The sequence below is a fragment of the Homo sapiens genome, chromosome 6 (genome assembly GCF_000001405.40).
Source record: "Homo sapiens chromosome 6, GRCh38.p14 Primary Assembly".
NCBI classification, from domain to species: domain Eukaryota; kingdom Metazoa; phylum Chordata; class Mammalia; order Primates; family Hominidae; genus Homo; species Homo sapiens.
In genome coordinates, this window is record NC_000006.12 from 110,144,428 (window position 1) to 110,164,800 (window position 20,373).

The window sequence follows — 20,373 nt, forward strand, 5'->3', positions numbered from 1 at the left end:
ATGGTGGTTTCTTTTGCTGTGCAGAAGCTCTTTAGTTTCATTAGATCCCATTTGTCAATTCTGGCTTTTGTTGCCATTGCTTTTGGTGTTTTAGACATGAAGTCCTTGCCCATGCCTATGTCCTGAATGGATATGCCTAGGTTTTCTTCTAGGGTTTTTATGGTTTTAGGTCTAACGTGTAAGTCTTTAATCCATCTTGAATTAATTTTTGTATAAGGTGTAAGGAAGGGATCCAGTTTCAGCTTTCTACATATGGCTAGCCAGTTTTCCCAGCACCATTTATTAAATAGGGAATCCTTTCCCCATTTCTTTATCAGGTTTGTCAAAGATCAGATAGTTGTAGATATGCGGCATTATTTCTGAGGGCTCTGTTCTGTTCCATTGGTCTATCTCTCTGTTTTGGTACCAGTACCATGCTGTTTTGGTTACTGTAGCCTTGTAGTGTAGTTTGAAGTCAGGTAGCGTGACGCCTCCAGCTTTGTTCTTTTGGCTTAGGATTGACTTGGCGATGCGGGCTCTTTTTTGGTTCCATATGAACTTTAAAGTAGTTTTTTCCAATTCTGTGAAGAAAGTCATTGGTAGCTTGATGGGGATGGCATTGAATCTATAAATTACCTTGGGCAGTATGGCCATTTTCACGAAACTGTTTCTTCCTACCCATGAGCATGGAATGTTCTTCCATTTGTTTGTATCCTCTTTTATTTCATTGAGCAGTGGTTTGTAGTTCTCCTTGAAGAGGTCCTTCACATCCCTTGCAAGTTGGATTCCTAGGTATTTTATTCTCTTTGAAGCAATTGTGAATGGGAGTTCAGTCATGATTTGGCTCTCTGTTTGTCTGTTATTGGTGTATAAGAATGCTTGTGATTTTTGCACATTGATTTTGTATCCTGAGAATTTGCTGAAGTTGCTTATCAGCTTAAGGAGATTTTGGGCTGAGACAATGGGGTTTTCTAGATATACAATCATGTCATCTGCAAACAGGGACAATTTGACTTCCTCTTTTCCTAATTGAATGCCCTTTATTCCCTTCTCCTGCCTGATTGCCCTGGCCAGAACTTCCAACGCTATGTTGAATAGGAGTAGTGAGAGAGGGCATCCCTGTCTTGTGCCAGTTTTCAAAGGGAATGCTTCCAGTTTTTGTCCATTCAGTATGATATTGGCTGTGGGTTTGTCATAGGTAGCTCTTATGATTCTGAGATACATCCCATCAATACCTAATTTATTGAGAGTTTTTAGCATGAAGGGTTGCTGAATTTTGTCAAAGGCCTTTTCTGCATCTATTGAGATAATCATGTGGTTTTTGTCTTTGGTTCTGTTTATATGCTGGATTAAGAAAATGTGGCACATATATACCATGGAATATTATGCAGTCATAAAAAATGATGAGTTCATGTCCTTTGCAGGGACATGGATGAAGCTGGAAACCATCATTTCTCAGCAAACTATAACAAGGACAAAAAAACCAAACACTGCATGTTCTCACTCATAGGTGGGAATTGAACAATGAGAACACATGGACACAGGAAGGGGAACATCACACACCGGGGACTGTTGTGGGGTGGGGGGAGGGGGGAGGGATGGCATTAGGAGATATACCTAATGCTAAATGACGAGTTAATGGGTACAGCACACCAACATGGCACACGTATACATATGTAACAAACCTGCACGTTGTGCACATGTACCCTAAAACTTAAAGTATAATAACAAAAAATATAATTTTCATTTTTCACAATACAGTATTAAATACTTATTCAAACTAAAGGATTACATTATGTGACCTAAAGGAACAGGTTAAAATAAGTATTCTAATAAAAACAATTTCAATATTTCAAATATGTTAAGAATTTTGGGTAGGGCAAATACTTATTAAGAAATGTCCTCCCTTCTTAAGAATAGAAGCCACTTAATTTTGCACAATTGGCAAGTTAAATAATTTGAGTATAAGAATGTTTAAATAGAGCTTTGCTCTTCATAGAAATAATTTTCTTAATAAACTCCCATGCCAATGACAAAATACTTTATAATTGTGACAGATATTATTAAATATAAAAATTTAAAATAAGAATGCATGAAGAACTGTACATTAAAAATATATCTAATTTTTTATTTAAAAATATATATATCTAACTTTAAAACCATATTTCAATTATACAAAACCACAGGTCTTTAAACGGTGATTTAATATAAAATATATTTGCAAGGTTATTGTTTAGAAGTGTATCAGAAACAGAATTTTATAATTTACCTTTCCCTAAATCTATAATGCACATTATCTCAAACTGTTTCATTATTGTAAACTAAAAAACTGAAGTTCAAAATAACTTCACTTACCAGTGAAATAGAAGCTTGTGTTTCTTGTGTAAAACCACCTCAGGAATATATAGAAATCATAAATTTCCTCTTTGTTGTGAGAAGCAAACTTTAAAACTACTCACTACTCATGAATCTCTAAAGGAGATTCATAGGAAAATGACAAAACCAATTTAGGTACTCACAGGACTAAAGAACTAGTCATCATGCTGAACATCTCCAGTTATTTGCTCTGAGGTACTCTGGCTCTTGGTTTAAAAAAAACTGCCCTAAGAACAGTGCTATCTTTACCAAAAATAAATATATAAATAATTATGTCACCTGAGGCCAGGCGCGGTGGCTCACACCTGTAATCCCAGCACTTTGGGAGGCCGAGGAGGGTGGATCACGAGGTCAGGAGATCGAGACCATCCTGGCTAACACGGTGAAACCCCATCTCTACTAAAAATACAAAAATTAGCCGGGCGTGGTGGCGGGCGCCTGTAGTCCCAGCTACTCGGGAGGCTGAGGCAGGAGAATGGCGTGAACCCGGGAGGCGGAGCTTGCAGTGAGCCGAGATCATGCCACTGCACTCCAGCCTGGGCAACAGTGCGAGACTCCGTCTCAAAAAAAAAAAAAAAAAATTATGTCACCTGAAGTCACAATAGCAAAGCATTAAATTTTGATAGGCTACTAAAGTCGAAAATAACACATTGCTAAGCAAACTAAAGCAAAAAGGAAATGAAGAAATAAGCTACATACTCAGCAATTCATAACACTGACATTTCTGACAGAGTCAAGAAAACTGTATGCTAATGAAATAATCAATAGTATTATACACCTATAGAGTGGAAAGAAGACTGTATATAGTCATCTTAGTAATAAAATCCACTAAATAGTAGTATTTTCTTATGTGATTCCATGTTACTCTCAAAGAAAATATGTACTTCCTTTAAATTAATATAACCACTACTGAAACTTACTTGACAAATCATTATACAAGCATAATACTGCACCAAGGTTATTACTGTATTATTTTTCTTTTGAGACAAGGTCTTATTCTGTCACCCAAACTGGAATGCAGTGGCGTGATCACAACTCACTGCAGCTTCAACCTCCCTGGCTAAAGCAGTCCTCCCACCCTCAGTTTCCCAAGTAGCTGGGACTACAGGGTGTGCCAGCACACCTGGCTAATTTTTAAATTTTTTGAAGAGACGAGATTTTGCCATGTTGCCCGGGCTGGCCTCAAACTCCTGGGCTCAAGTAATCCTCCTGCCTTAGCCTTTCAAAGTGCTAGGATTATAGACATGAGCCACTGCACCCAACCACCAAGTTTATTTTTAGTGGTTTAAAAGATGTTAAAATTGAAGTTTGAGGCATCTAAACCACAAATGCAGAACTAAGCTACTTGAAAAACAAGATTGTCTTCTTCATATTGCAAGTATTTCTAAAAACATATACCTATCAAATACATTGTACTTTATATGAAAAACGGCAGTACTGACACACTGCCATCCATTCATTCATTCATCTAACCAACCATTTACTGAACATCAGTGAAATAAGTACTGTGTGCCAAGTGCTAAAGATAAAGGGGTGAGCAAAACCAAACAATCCCCCGTGTATTTCCTAGAATCTAGTATCTAATTACGCTTATAAGTATAATGGAGTAAAAGTAGGGGACACTATAAAGGGGACCTGTCTCCTTAAGGAAGTAATATTTAAATTAAGAACAAAAGGATTATTAGCTAAGCTAGCTAAGCTGGGGAAACTGAAGCTTGTGCGTGTGTTTTCATTCTTAGAATGAAAGGTGGACAGGGAATAATAATGAGAGCAAGCCATCATGGGTGAAGTGCAATCAGAGACTCTAGGGTTAGTAGGGGGTCAGATTAGGTAGGACCTTGAAGGTCATATTGACGATTTTCTATGTTGTCCTAATGGAAAACCCTTGAAGGGTTTTAAGCAAAGGAGTGCCAAGATCAGGAATGACCATTCATTCTAATTGCTCTATGGAGACTTGGGCAGTGGGGAATGGCAGAATAAATGCAGGTAGACCAGACAGAAGATGAATAAAGTAGTCCAGAGACAGAGATGGTAGTCACTTGGACTATGTGATAGTGATACAGAAGCATGTCAACTCAAGATATATTCTGGAGGTAGAAGGAAACAGGCTAATAATTAATTAGATCACCAGAAGGGGTGAAGCCCAAGTTCTTGGCTTAAGAAACTTTCTATAGTCAGCCAAAAACTGAAAATTATTTCTAAAGCAGATCAATTATATCAATATATGACTCCCTATCCACAAAGTCTATGGGATTAGGAAAAGACTTATGACTAACTCTAGTAATATGTACAACCAAGTAACTGGGCTCATGGAGAGAGTAATTTAATGGTATTTGGGACAGGGGTAGTGGGAGAATGATGAGTTTTAAAGCCAAAATTAATTGAGAAAGCAAGAGAACATTTAGTGGCTTTCCTTTTTTTCCCCCTTTCATTTTTTTCCTTACATTTCATTATTCTGTATGGCATATGCCCGCTTTACCTATTTCAGCCTGAAGGATAAATCTTAGATTTACTTAATTGCTTTGTTCGCCTACATCGTTGCCATTCTCTATGCCCTGTAACTTCAGTCCACCTGACTTCTAGAATAGAGAGCCAGGGTAAACACAATATTCCTGGCATTTCACCTTCCAATGCCCCACAATTCATATGAAATGTCATCTTCTTTCTGTAGGAGACAGCATGGAAGAGGAAGACTCTGTCTTAAAAAAAAAAAAAAAAAAGGAAAGAAAGAAAGAAAAAAACAAAAAGAAAAGAATCTTAACCTGGAAGAGAAATTAAAACACCAAATAATTCATATCCGATTTTTGTAGATTAGCAAACTTACCTGAAAAAGCTAAGAAACTTCTCTAAGTTCACAAAATCAGTGGCAGAGATGAGACTAGATTTTGTCTTCAGATTTTGCATCTATTGCTTGCTCTACTGTATTTTTGTCAGTATACATATTTTAATTTTTTATTTCAAGTTTCTGGGGTACATGGATAAGTGATTTGGTAGTGATTTCTGGGATTATGGTACACCCATCACCTGAGCAGTGTACACTGTACCCAGTATGTAGTCTTTTATCCCTCAGCCCCCTCCCACCCTCTTAATCTGTTACTGTTTATTATTACTATTATTATTTTGTAGAGATGGGGTCTCCCTAACTTGCCTGCCCAGGCTGGTGTCGAACTCCTGAGCTCAAGCAATCCTCCTGCCTCAGCCTCCTATTAGAGATGTGAGCCACTATACCTGGCCTTGTTACTGTATTTAAGTCTATTTTGTATTCTCGACAAATTGGCCTCCCAAATTTCACAATACCCTAAAAGATTTTCAATGGTATTTTGAAGCTCCAAATAATGTTCCTCAATTCCCAGATGACTACTTCCTTCAATAAATATTTACAGATTACATATTATGGTTAAAATATAGAAAGTGAAAGGAATAGAAAAGAAGTAAAATAGCTTCACCACCCAGCAGCTTACAAAATAATCAGGAAGCAAAAATATGTAACAGAAAATGTAAAACAATAAAAATGAACATATAGCTAAGGTCTAAAGTAGACTAAGGTAAATTATTATGCATGTAGAGAGAATGAAATCAAAACCAGCTAAAGAGGTTAAAGGAAGACAGTAATTTAGACCTGTTCTGTCCAATAAATTAACCAGCTAGCCACAAGTTGCTAAATTAAAACGAAGTAAATAATTTAAAAATCAGTTCCTCAGTCACACTAGCCACATTTCAAGTGCTCAATAGCCATACTGGACAGGGTAGTTACAGAACACTACCTTCACTGCAGAAAGTTGTACTGGACAGCACTGATGTCCATCACAAGTAAAACAGCAAGTTGAGAATAAGAGAGGAAAAATAAGGACACTTGCTTGAAAGGAAAACAGAAGCAGGAATAAAAGATTTTTTAAAAAAGCAATCAAATTGAAGATTTTGAACTTTGGTGGTCAACAAGGAACAAATAAGTTCCTTAAAAGGAGTAAAAGGGCTGGGCACAGTGGCTCACGCCTGTAATCACAGCACTTTGGGAGGCTGAGGCGGGCAGATCACCTTACATCAGGAGTTCGAGACCAGCCTGGCTAACATGGTAAAACCCCGTTTCTACTAAAAATACAAAAAATTAGCCAGGCTTGGTGGCACGAGCCTGTAATCCCAGCTACTTGGGAGGCTGAGGCAGGAGAATCACTTGAACCCAGGAGGCGAAGGTTGCAGTGAACTGAGATCACGCCATTGCATTCCAGCATGGGCATCAAGAGTGAAACTCTGTCTCAAAATAAAAGAGTAAAAGAGGACAAACATTTGATCTTAAAAAGATTTTAATGTGTATTATGGAGTAAATGTGGAATGACTAGAGAGAGTAAACCACTGGGTCATAGGGTATATATACACATACATACATACAGCTTTAGTAACTATTGTCAAATAGTTTTCAAAGTGCTTGAACTAATTTATACCCCCATCAGCAACTTACGAGAGTTCCAGCTGTTTGACATTCTTGGTAACACTTGGTATCACACACTAGCAATTTGAGGATCCAAGCAAAACTAACCACATTTCATTCTAAAGTTTCATCTAGTCTACTAAAATTTTTAATTTCCAAAATCTTTGGCCACAAATAACTATAATAAAATATTAAATGTATTACTCTTGATTGAATGCTTTCTAGGAAATAAACAAGGTGGAGATAAAAGCATCCTACATGTTATAAAAACAATTATTTCCCACATTCTGTAATATAAGAATTCTATAAACTCAAGAATTCCAAGATTGGTCTAAACAATAGGATCAACAAAATGCACACTTACATTCATTCATCTCTTGCACAAGTTTAATAAAGTAATAGTAATTTTTAAATACTACTTTATATTTGTAGACATACATGAAATCACAATATTAATCACAATTTTGAGTGAACTTAAAAAACTTACAAAATCACCTCTATTATGTTTACTTTTTAGCTACTTCCTCAACTTTCTACTGTTTCTTAACATCATAGATGAAAGAAAATTAAAAAATATAGAAAAAGTGGTAAGTATATTATTATCTTAGTTCTATTTCCCCACTGGACATGGAAATGCTATGCCAAATCAAATCAGTGAGAAAAATCAACTTACATCTTATTTGGGTGTCACAACCATCCCATTATATGCACATATTATTATATATTTTTGTCCTTTTTAGAAAAAAAATATAAACTTTATTGAGGTATAAGTGAAGCACAACATACAGCATGTGGCAGGCAGAATTCTAAGATGGCCGCATGATATCCAGTCCCTAGCACTATTCCTATGATTATATTACATGTTAAGAGAGGTTTTAAAGATATAATTATGGTCAATTATCAGCTGACCTTAAAATTGGGAGATTATATGGGTGGGCTTAACCTAATCACATGAGCCCTTTGAAAGTAGAGCTTTCTCCAGCTGACAACGGAGAAAGGAGGCAAAGATTTGAAGCATGAGGGAGATGTGGCAGCTACTGCTGGCTTAAAGATGGAGGGAACCTGAAAGCAGTTCTAGGAGCTAGAAACCTTTTTCTGACACCCAGGGAGAAGACAGGAACCTGGAAACCAGGAACAATAATATTAAATCCAACAAAAACTTACTCTGGTTAACTACTCTCCTTAAGTTGGGATTCTGTTATTATTTCATATATGTCTGTATTATCAAAATTCTTCTAAACTTTGATTTTGTCTTAGTCCAACAGAAACAATTCACAATACAATGAAGAATTATATCCATCAGGAAAAATAGAATCTGCCTCTGTACTTGTTAGATATTAAAAGAGAAGCTTAAGATTGTACAACTACCAGGAACTTGAATGAGCTTGCAAGGTGATTGTTCCCCAGAGCCAACAGAAAAGAAATGTAGCCGTCAGTGCCATGATTTTGGACTTCTGAGTCCCTATGCAGAGAATCCAGCCAAGCCTATTCATACTTCTGACTTATAGGACTATAAGATAATTACTAGAGATGTTTTAGCCTGCTAAATGTGTGGTAATTCGTTAAGCAGTGATAGAAAACTAATGCATTGCACATACTGGTGTAAAATTTGATTAGGTTTATAACAGTTTTAACATGGCTTAATACTGTGAAATCATCACAATCATCCCCCAAATTTTCTCCTTTGTAATCCCTTCCTCCCCTCATGTTTCCAAGGACCACTGACCTGTCACCATAGATTAATTTGCTTGTTGAATTCTATATAAATGGATTCACAGAGTAGTAACTATTGTCTGCCTTCTTTTGTTCAGCCTAATGATTGAGATGATTGAGATTCATCCATGTTGTTGCACTTGTTTATGGAAATTTGGGTAATATTCCGGTTTTGATTATTGTAAATAAAGTAACTTATGAACATTTTATACAAGTCTCTATGTGGATATGGTTTTGTTTTTCTTGGGTAAATACTTAGCAGTGGAACGGTTGGGTTATACGTTTAGCTTTGTAAAAAACTACAAAATTGCTTTCCAAAGCAGTTTAACCATTTTACATTTCCACCAACAGAGTTCTAGGTGAAGATAGGGAGCCAGGAAATAATAATGGCAAAATAGTTTAACCAAATCTACTGTTCTGGTTTCTGTTCCAGTTTGACCTTATGGCAGATAAAAATAACTAGCTGTACAATGTAATGATAAACTGACATTTTGAGTCCAAAAAGAAAGTTTAAGACTGATTTAATAAGAGCCCTAATATTTAAAAGAAGCCATAGATTAAATCAATCTATGTTGATTTCTCACTGTATCCTCACCCAAACTTGGCATTGTCAACCTTTTTAATTTTAGTCAATCTACTGCATGTACAGTGGTATCTCATAATTTTAATTTGCATTTTTCTATCCTGCTTAAAGCTAACACAAGACTGGACAAGGTGGCTCACATCTGTAATCCCACTTTGGGAGGCTGAGGTGGGAGGATCGCTTGAGCTCAGAAGTTCGAGACCAGCTTGGACAACATAGTAAAACCTGGTTTCTACAATGTGCTGCTACATTCCAGCCTGGGTGACACAAGATCCTGCCTCAAAAAAGAAAAAAAAAAAAGCCAACAATAGGAAAACTTGGATTTGTGTGTGTCTGGTAATTTGAGGTTTATGCTATACGCCTGGATTTAAAAATACTCAATTAGAATGAATAGAATATTATAAAACATTTGATAAGAGGGACTGTGCTTGTATTTAAATGTGACAATAACATACCTAAGTTTGTTTTAAGTAGGGAGAAGAAGAGTTGAGGATACATTTGGAGTGAAAAATTAGAGGGATTTCTTTGAGTTCCAAAAGTAAATTTCAGGAGAAGTTGTGAACTCTCCTTTTCTATATCTGAAACCATGTTAGAGGAAGTGAGGTTCTACAAATTATTTGAATGACGGCAAGGAAGACGGACTCACAGGCAGAGACTTAAGTCTCTTTTCTCTAAGTTTACTTTTTTCCAACATAATTCTCAATGTTTTTATTTTGTGGTCTATATACCTAATACAATACAATATCATATGGATTACAACGATGTGAATGAACACTCCTAAAGAACATTCTGAAGTACCTAACAATATCATATGGAAACACAGGACTTAAAAACAGCTTTTAATATCAAAATGGAAGAGGATGAAGCAAGTAATTTATTGATTTCCTTTAGAAAAGAATTCTAAAGGTAATACCTAAAATATATTAATACAGGCATGGTTTGAGCCAGGACAGTAATTGCGTATTATAAAAAAGTACCTTAAGAGAAAGATATAAATAGAAAGTTCCACAAAATTTCACTTGATTGAATTTCCATACAGAAGCAATGGGCATAAAAATTGTTGTTCCCTAGACTTCACAATTTACCCATTATTATAAACATTTTAATAAACATGATTATGAAGATTATACACTTTTCTGTTGATTAATAAAATTAACTATCCTAACTATACACCTGAATATAATTACCTTTGATTGATATTTTACTTTATATAGGAACAAACAAACACACCACAAATTTGGAAATATTGCAACGGAGTCATTTGAAGATTTTAAATATTTTTCAGCCATGGTTTATAACTTTATTGTACTAAAAAAAATCAGGGAATTTGGATAAAAATTGAAATGCAAAGACTAAAAGGATCCAAAGCCTGGATCTTATGTAAAGTTGTCCTTGGTGAAAGTCAGGCACATGTAAAAACTTCTGCTAAGAACATCCTAATGCCAAATAAGATATAAAAGGACATAATATGCTAAAAATATAAATGGGACAGCTAGTATTAATGAAATAGATACTTCTGAAAGAGATACCTTCACAGTGGAAGACTTCCAGCTAGGGCATTCAAAAGTAATGAACCACGTGCTCCTAATACCCTGAAATAATCAGACTCTTTACATATTTTCAGCTTTGTCTATAGAGTAAATCAATATAGATTTACTTAATCTATAGTTCTCCCTAAGTATCAGGGCTCTTACTAATTCAGTAACTCTTAAGCATTATTTTTGGCCTCGATATACCAATATACCATCATAATGTACACCTAAGTATGCTTTTTATCGGCTATAAGCACAAACTGGAACAGAAACTAAAAAGGTAGATTTGGTTAAACTATTTTGCCATTATCATTTCCTGGCTTGGAATGAGATTAAGAGAGTTCTTTGAAAGCAAATCTAGGATCAATAGCTTAAAGTGATGAGAAGACATTTAATTTGAACAGAAAAAAAATCTTTTTATACCAGACATTTCCAATAAGGAAATTACTTGCCTCTAGAAGAGATTACAGGTAGGACTACATTATTTCTAAAGTGCCTTCTTTTTTTTTTTTTTTTTTTTTTTTTTTTTATTATACTCTAAGTTTTAGGGTACATGTGCACATTGTGCAGGTTAGTTACATATGTATACATGTGCCATGCTGGTGCGCTGCACCCACTAATGTGTCATCTAGCATTAGGTATATCTCCCAATGCTATCCCTCCCCCCTCCCCCGACCCCACCACAGTCCCCAGAGTGTGATATTCCCCTTCCTGTGTCCATGTGATCTCATTGTTCAATTCCCACCTATGAGTGAGAATATGCGGTGTTTGGTTTTTTGTTCTTGCAATAGTTTACTGAGAATGATGGTTTCCAATTTCATCCATGTCCCTACAAAGGATATGAACTCATCATTTTTTATGGCTGCATAGTATTCCATGGTGTATATGTGCCACATTTTCTTAATCCAGTCTATCATTGTTGGACATTTGGGTTGGTTCCAAGTCTTTGCTATTGTGAATAGTGCCGCAATAAACATACGTGTGCATGTGTCTTTATAGCAGCATGATTTATACTCATTTGGGTATATACCCAGTAATGGGATGGCTGGGTCAAATGGTATTTCTAGTTCTAGATCCCTGAGGAATCGCCACACTGACTTCCACAATGGTTGAACTAGTTTACAGTCCCACCAACAGTGTAAAAGTGTTCCTATTTCTCCGCATCCTCTCCAGCACCTGTTGTTTCCTGACTTTTTAATGATTGCCATTCTAACTGGTGTGAGATGATATCTCATAGTGGTTTTGATTTGCATTTCTCTGATGGCCAGTGATGATGAGCATTTCTTCATGTGTTTTTTGGCTGCATGAATGTCTTCTTTTGAGAAGTGTCTGTTCATGTCCTTCGCCCACTTTTTGATGGGGTTGTTTGTTTTTTTCTTGTAAATTTGTTTGAGTTCATTGTAGATTCTGGATATTAGCCCTTTGTCAGATGAGTAGGTTGCAAAAATTTTCTCCCATGTTGTAGGTTGCCTGTTCACTCTGATGGTAGTTTCTTTTGCTGTGCAGAAGCTCTTTAGTTTAATTAGATCCCATTTGTCAATTTTGTCTTTTGTTGCCATTGCTTTTGGTGTTTTGGACATGAAGTCCTTGCCCACGCCTATGTCCTGAATGGTAATGCCTAGGTTTTCTTCTAGGGTTTTTATGGTTTTAGGTTTAACGTTTAAATCTTTAATCCATCTTGAATTGATTTTTGTATAAGGTGTAAGGAAGGGATCCAGTTTCAGCTTTCTACATATGGCTAGCCAGTTTTCCCAGCACCATTTATTAAATAGGGAATCCTTTCCCCATTGCTTGTTTTTCTCAGGTTTGTCAAAGATCAGATAGTTGTAGATATGCGGCATTATTTCTGAGGGCTCTGTTCTGTTCCATTGATCTATATCTCTGTTTTGGTACCAGTACCATGCTGTTTTGGTTACTGTAGCCTTGTAGTATAGTTTGAAGTCAGGTAGTGTGATGCCTCCAGCTTTGTTCTTTTGGCTTAGGATTGACTTGGCAATGCGGGCTCTTTTTTGGTTCCATATGAACTTTAAAGTAGTTTTTTCCAATTCTGTGAAGAAAGTCATTGGTAGCTTGATGGGGATGGCATTGAATCTGTAAATTACCTTGGGCAGTATGGCCATTTTCACGATATTGATTCTTCCTACCCATGAGCATGGAATGTTCTTCCATTTGTTTGTCTCCTCTTTTATTTCCTTGAGCAGTGGTTTGTAGTTCTCCTTGAAGAGGTCCTTCACATCCCTTGTAAGTTGGATTTCTAGGTATTTTATTCTCTTTGAAGCAATTGTGAATGGGAGTTCACCCATGATCTGGCTCTCTGTTTGTCTGTTGTTGGTGTATAAGAATGCTTGTGATTTTTGTACATTGATTTTGTATCCTGAGACTTTGCTGAAGTTGCTTATCAGCTTAAGGAGATTTTGGGCTGAGACGATGGGGTTTTCTAGATAAACAATCATGTCGTCTGCAAACAGGGACAATTTGACTTCCTCTTTTCCTAATTGAATACCCTTTATTTCCTTCTCCTGCCTGATTGCCCTGGCCAGAACTTCCAACACTATGTTGAATAGGAGCGGTGAGAGAGGGCATCCCTGTCTTGTGCCGGTTTCCAAAGGGAATGCTTCCAGTTTTTGCCCATTCAGTATGATATTGGCTGTGGGTTTGTCATAGATAGCTCTTATTATTTTGAAATACGTCCCATCAATACCTAATTTATTGAGAGTTTTTAGCATGAAGGGTTGTTGAATTTTGTCAAAGGCTTTTTCTGCATCTATTGAGATAATCATGTGGTTTTTGTCTTTGGCTCTGTTTATATGCTGGATTACATTTATTGATTTGCGTATATTGAACCAGCCTTGCATCCCAGGGATGAAGCCCACTTGATCATGGTGGATAAGCTTTTTGATGTGCTGCTGGATTCGGTTTGCCAGTATTTTATTGAGGATTTTTGCATCAATGTTCATCAAGGATATTGGTCTAAAATTCTCTTTTTTGGTTGTGTCTCTGCCCGGCTTTGGTATCAGAATGATGCTGGCCTCATAAAATGAGTTAGGGAGGATTCCCTCTTTTTCTATTGATTGGAATAGTTTCAGAAGGAATGGTACCAGTTCCTCCATGTACCTCTGGTAGAATTCAGCTGTGAATCCATCTGGTCCTGGACTCTTTTTGGTTGGTAAACTATTGATTATTGCCACAATTTCAGAGCCTGTTATTGGTCTATTCAGAGATTCAACTTCTTCCTGGTTTAGTCTTGGGAGAGTGTATGTGTCGAGGAATGTATCCATTTCTTCTAGATTTTCTAGTTTATTTGCGTAGAGGTGTTTGTAGTATTCTCTGATGGTAGTTTGTATTTCTGTGGGATCGGTGGTGATATCCCCTTTATCATTTTTTATTGTGTCTATTTGATTCTTCTCTCTCTTTTTCTTTATTAGTCTTGCTAGCGGTCTATCAATTTTGTTGATCCTTTCAAAAAACCAGCTCCTGGATTCATTGATTTTTTGAAGAGGATCCTATTCGGCCATCTTGGCTCTTCCCCTAAAGTGCCTTCTTGTTTACAATCTTATATAAAAGGAGAATCTTAGGGAATGAGGAACCCTCACATGAGCTTCTTTGACCCCAAGATAAAATAAGTGAGTAATTCACTCAGGTGACTTGTCTGAGTCAATGTTAACTCCATAAGCATAGCAATTTTTTTTAAAAAAAGATATGATTCATGTTGGAGTTAAGAATGAAGATTAGAACCAGCTACTATTCTATTTAGAATGGATGTCTACTTTCTTCCCTATCTAGCTCAATCCAATTAATCCTTCAATGTCCTGAATGAATCCTTCCTTTGCCATGAAAACCTTCTTGATAAACCCAGTTCATGGTGAGTTAGTCCTTCCTCTGAATTCAGAGTTCTATTTTTCTATGCTAGTAATTATTATTATTAACCAAATAGCCATTTACTGCATTGTGATCTTTCTTGAATTGTTTCTTACACTATTTCAGTTTTCCATGCTTACATCTTGTCTATTCAGTCATACCATAAGCTCCCTGAAGACAGGGATCATATCTTACATTTCTCCGTATGTCCCATAGCAACTAACAGCATTTTGCGTTTTGACTATTCAGAATTAGTTGAATAAGAACAGAAAATTACAGATTACTTTAAAAACTGGGGAAGGCAAATTCGGTAGATGCAAGCACAGGAAAAGAAAAAAGAGCAAATAAGTAAAAATAATACACAGGTTAGTAGCTAGAGTCAACCCTGCATTTGGAAAAAACACAAAAACGAAAACAAAAAACAGTCTGTTGAGTTAAAGACAGTAAGGTTCTAGACTAAGCTCCATGCATACTTAAGGTGAGAACCATTGATGTAGGGGATAACCGTGTGACACTGCCAGAATCTGAGAAAAGGAACATTATCACTGAAGTGAAGTGACATTACAATATTTTTTCCACACCTTTACTTTTATCTTTTGGCACCTGATAGGGGTCTTCAAATAGCAACTCCAACTGACACCAGACGGTACCTGTTGGAGCCTAATGCCGGGCTATGGCCAGCAAACCAAATAAATATCACTATTCATGAGACACAGTTAGAAGTTAAGCATCCCTTATCTGAAATGCTTGGGACCAGAAGTGTTTCCAGTTTCAAAAATATCTGAATACTGCATACATGTAATGAGATCTCTTGGGGATAGGACCCAAGTTTAAACATGAAATTCATTTATGTTTCATATATACCTTATACACATGGCTTGAAGGTAACTTTATGTAACACTTTAAATAATTCTGTGCATTAAAGTGGTTTTAAGTACCTACACGTGAAATTTTCCACTTGTGGTATCATGTTGGTGCTCAAAATGTTTCGGATTTTGGAACATTTCAGATTTTGGATTAGGGATGCTCAACCTATACCTTGGGAAGCATCTATTTCTTTAACATAGCTCTAAAAGAACAATGGCTTCAGCAATTTTTCAACTCCTATTTAGTATTAAAATAACCTTTTACATTCAAAAATACCATCTTGAAAGTTTTATCTAGTTAGAATAAGTCTAATTTAAAAACAGAATATACACTTCCATCATACACAAAATTATATTAAAAATGTTAGTTATACTTGTTACATCACAGTAAAAAACAGTATAGTAAGAAAAACAGCTGATTTAAAATCAAGTGTCTAATGAAAACTATGAGCAAGGAAGAATAATATGTTAGCTAACTGCTGGATGGACTAAAAAGAATGGGAAAACGAGATATAGGACTCTTTTAAGAGCACTTATAATTTACCACTGAAGAATTGATGAGGATTCGGGTTTTAGACTGTTGGTAGTTGGAAACAAGAGAAGAAAAATCATTAGATACAGAATAAGAAAGGTTTTGAGCCTAGGAGAGTGTGCTACCTTTAACAGAAATGAGAAGCTGGTTCCAAATCTATTGTAAAACCACCAACGTTTTCTAATCCTGTCCCTACACACTTAATTTTTAAATGCAGAAGATGCTTTCAAGACCAGTCCACTTTTATTAGTATATAACTTTTGAAGCAGAAATGAGAAGTAGCTTTAAATTGACACCTGCTATCAGGAGTTGCCATTGAGATACATTACTTCTTAATTTTACCTTGAAGATTTTAACGATTTTGCAGCCATAGCTTCCACTGCAACTTTACTCCAACAGCTATCATCAACAGTTGTTTTAACATGCTGATTTCTCCAACACTGTTTAAAATTGAGAACAAAAATAATATCCAACATTTATTATTCCTTGTTTCTAATACTCAAAGAACCTACCTTTTTCTTTGAATAATTAGAACAATGAAACATGAGGCCTGAGGAGTAATTTAAGCTTAGCCAATTACTTTTAATTATAATAGGAAATGAGAGGATCAATATAGTAAAATCCTCATTAATCATATTCTACCAATTATGAATTTGAAATTATCTCGATGAAATAAATGCAATTCTTGCTTACCCAGAAGTCTGAAACATTTTTTCATTAAAAAAAACTTTACCTATTGCTACTAAAGCCGTATCTGACTGGAAAATCTTTAGCTGTTAAAACTCAGGCTCAATAAATCACAAAGTCCTTTCAAGATGTCTTCCTCTAACTTCTAAGTTCAGAAGATAAAAAAGCGGTATTCTAAATTCATTAATTCAACAAATATTTTAAGTACCTTTTTACTTATGTTATAGTCTTTTACTCACGATGTACTGTTTAACTGTACTAAATAGTGTATTACATTTTCTACCAACTAACCTCATTTTACTCATTATCACCATCTTATTTAGAAGAAAACATATGTTCTTAGGAGGGAGGAACTAACTAGTCTAAAGTTTCATTTAACTAGCAATGAAACTCATCCAAAAATCCTACCAAATGTTGGATAAATTTGGCTATCCCTCTTTCTTCCACATATTGATCCCCCGAATAAGCTTATTATACTCACATGAGCCTCTTAGATAGCAGTGGACCATTCTTCAGTTAAGAGTACCTTATTTTACCAGATTAAACTTTACTTGTCCAGATATTTTTACATGGTCAAGATATGTGAGACCTCATTTATCGCACTGTATTATGTTTTCCCTGAAGAAAACTGATAGTATATGTTGCTTTCTATAGCTTTTTTAAAAAACTAAATAGGAATCACCCATTCCTTGCCATTCAGCAAAAAACTGGGGAGAAATTATACCTTTTACAATGAATTATTACAATGATGTTTACATTCCAGATTTCTCACTTACTATGATGAACCATGTTACTTTGCACTTTATGAACAAGCTACATGAAAGGAAGAACCAAGGCCCAGCCTTAACCTGACCTCTATGAAAGGACCACAATTTCAGCAAGAACCTAATCCCTATAGAAAGTATTCAAATAATATGATTACCCACATATGCAAATAAAGAAAAGAGGTCTAACACAAAACAAAATGGAGGACTTTGTTATCACCAAATGAGTTTAAATAAATCTAAAGTTTATTATTAAGCAATTTTGAAAGCGTACGAGTCGTAAAATTCAGAATTCTATCTGTATCACTGATATATCTGAAGTACAAACTGGGCACTTCAGTGAATATATTTTAAGAAAATACATTCAATGTACTTTTCAAAGAGTAAAAATAATACAAACATATCAAGTATTAATACTTAAGAATAAAAAACTTTGTTTTTGGGGACAGGTCCTAGAATATAGACAAATTCTGCTTCTCCTCTCCTACTGTTTGGTAGACTCTTCTGAGAGTCGACTCTGACCTAATCACAACTTAACTTTTTCATTATTCAGCATTCTCAAAACAAGCAAGATATAAATTAAGATTTGTCACGCAGACAACGTATTTCTTGCTTCAAAAGGCATAAAGGAACAGACAGAAGCAGACTTATTCTATAAGGTTAACATTACCCTAATGCAAAACTAGATAAAGACAAGGCAAAAAAAAAAAAAAATCCAAAAAACTAAAGGCCAATATCTCTCATTAACAAAAATGCAAAAATCCTCAACAAAATATTAACAAATCGATTCCAACAATGTGTAAAAATAATTACATACCAGGACCAAGTGAGATTCATCCTAGATATGCAAGGCTGGTTCTACATACAAAAATCAATTAACATAATTTATCGTATCAACAGGCTAAAGAAGAAAAGCCTGCATGATCTTATCAAAAGATACTGGAAAAGCATTTGACAAAAACCAATGCCCATTCATTACTAAAACTCTCCGCAAACTAGGAATAAAAGGTAACTTCCTCAACTTGAAAAGAAGATTTACAAAAAACCTACAGCTAACATCATACTTAATGGCAAGAAACTACAACCTTTCCTGCTAAAGTCAAGACAAGGAAAGGATGTTCCCTCTTACAATATCACACCGAAAGTCTTAGTTAATACAAGAGAAGAAAATAAAAGTATGCTGATTGGGAAGGAGAAATAAAACTGTCTTTGTTCAAAGATGACATAATTGTCTACACAGAAAATCTGAAAGAATCAACCAAAAAACTCTTGGAACTAGTAAGCAATTACAGCATGGATACAAGATTAATATATAAAAGTCAACTGCTTCCCAACATCTTAACAACGAATACGTCATATCTGAAATTAAAAACATAATAACATATGTTGCAGCCCCACAAAATGAAATAAGCATAAATCTCATAAAATTTGTACAAAATCTATATGAGAAAAACTACAAAACTCTGACGAAAGAAATCAAAAAACTAAATAAATACAGAGATACTCTATGTTTGTGGATAGTTTCTTATTTGGGGCTGCTATAATGAAGTACCACAGAATAGGCATCTTATAAATGACAGAAATTTATTTCTCACAGTTCTGGAGGCTGGAATTCTATGAAACTAAGGTGCTAGCATGGTCAGGTTCTAGTGAGAGTCCTGTTCCAGGCTGTAGACTTCTTGTTGTGTTCTCATATGGCAGAAAGCTCGAGAGAGTGCTATGGGGACTTTTTAAAAAAGGCACTCATTTATGAGGACTCCACTCTCATGATCTAATCATCTCCCCAAAGTCCTATCTCCTAATACTATCACATTGTTAGGATGTCATCATATGAATTTGGGGGTGGGGGATGGGGACATATATTCAGTCCATAACAGATAAGAAAACTCAATATTGTCAAGATACCAGATCTTCCCAACTTGATCTGTAGATTCAACACAATCCTAATCAAAATTCCAGCAAGTTATTTTGTGACTATCAACAAACTGATTCTAAAGTTTATTATAGAGAGTCAAAAGACCCAGCAGAGCCAACACATTATTGAAGGACTGACACTATGCAACCTCAAGACTTACTATAAAGTTACGGTAATCAAGACAGTGTAGTTTTGGAGAAATAGAAAAATAGTTCAATGAAACTGAATAAAGAGCCCAGAAACAGACCCGTGCAAATAGTCACTGATCTTTGACAAAGAAGCAAAGACAATACAAATGAGAAAAGATAGTCTTTTCAACAAATGATGCTGGAATTGGACGTCCACATGCAAAAAACTGAATCTAGACACAGACCTTACACGCTTCACAAAAATGAACTCAGAATTGATTATAAATCTAAACATAAAATCCAAAACTATAAAACTCCTAGAAGGTACCATAGCAGAAAATCAAGATGACTTTGGGTTTGAAGATGACATTTTAAATACAACAACAAAGGCACAATCCATGAAAAATAATTGGTAAGTTGGACTTCATTAAAATTAAAAAATTCTGCTCTGTTAAGACAATGTTGAGAGAATGAGAAAACAAGCTACAGACTGGGAGAAAATATTTGCAAAAGACTAATAAAAGACTGTTATTCAGAATATACAAAAAACTCTTGAAATTCAACAAGAAAATGAACAACTTGATTAAAAATTGGGAAAAAGTTCTCACCTCAACAAATACTTCACCAAAAGAGATACACTGACTGCATGATTGCAAATAAGCATATGAAAAGATGCTCAACATCATGCATCATGTGTCAGTAGGGAATTGCAAATTAAAACGAGATATTGCTACATGCCTATTAGAATGGCCAAAATCTAAAACACTGGCAATACCAAATGATGGAGAGAATGCAGAGCAAGAAGAACTCTCATTCGCTGCTATTGAGAATGCATAATTGGAAGACAGTTTGGCAGTTTCTTATAAAATGAAACAAACTCTTACCATACAATCCAGCAAAAACATTCTTTGATATTTACCCAAAGAGGTGAAAACTTACACCCATACAAAAATGTCAACATCGATGTTTTAGCAGTTTTATTCATAACTGCTGAAACTTGGAACCAACCAGTAT

At 35.5% G+C, this 20,373-nt stretch overlaps 1 protein-coding gene across 4 annotated transcripts in view; it reads right to left on the minus strand.

Annotated features, from left to right (window-relative positions):
* WASF1 (WASP family member 1) overlaps positions 1–20,373 on the minus strand; it is a 79,852-nt gene that overhangs the window by 44,609 nt on the left and 14,870 nt on the right. For 2 of the 4 annotated variants that reach the window (NM_001024935.2, NM_003931.3), the window contains one exon: positions 16,208–16,305. The exons of the other annotated variants lie outside the window; for them this stretch is intronic. The gene's annotated coding sequence lies outside the window, so the exon portion shown is untranslated. The remainder of the gene's footprint in view (positions 1–16,207; positions 16,306–20,373) is intronic. 4 annotated transcript variants of the gene reach the window in all.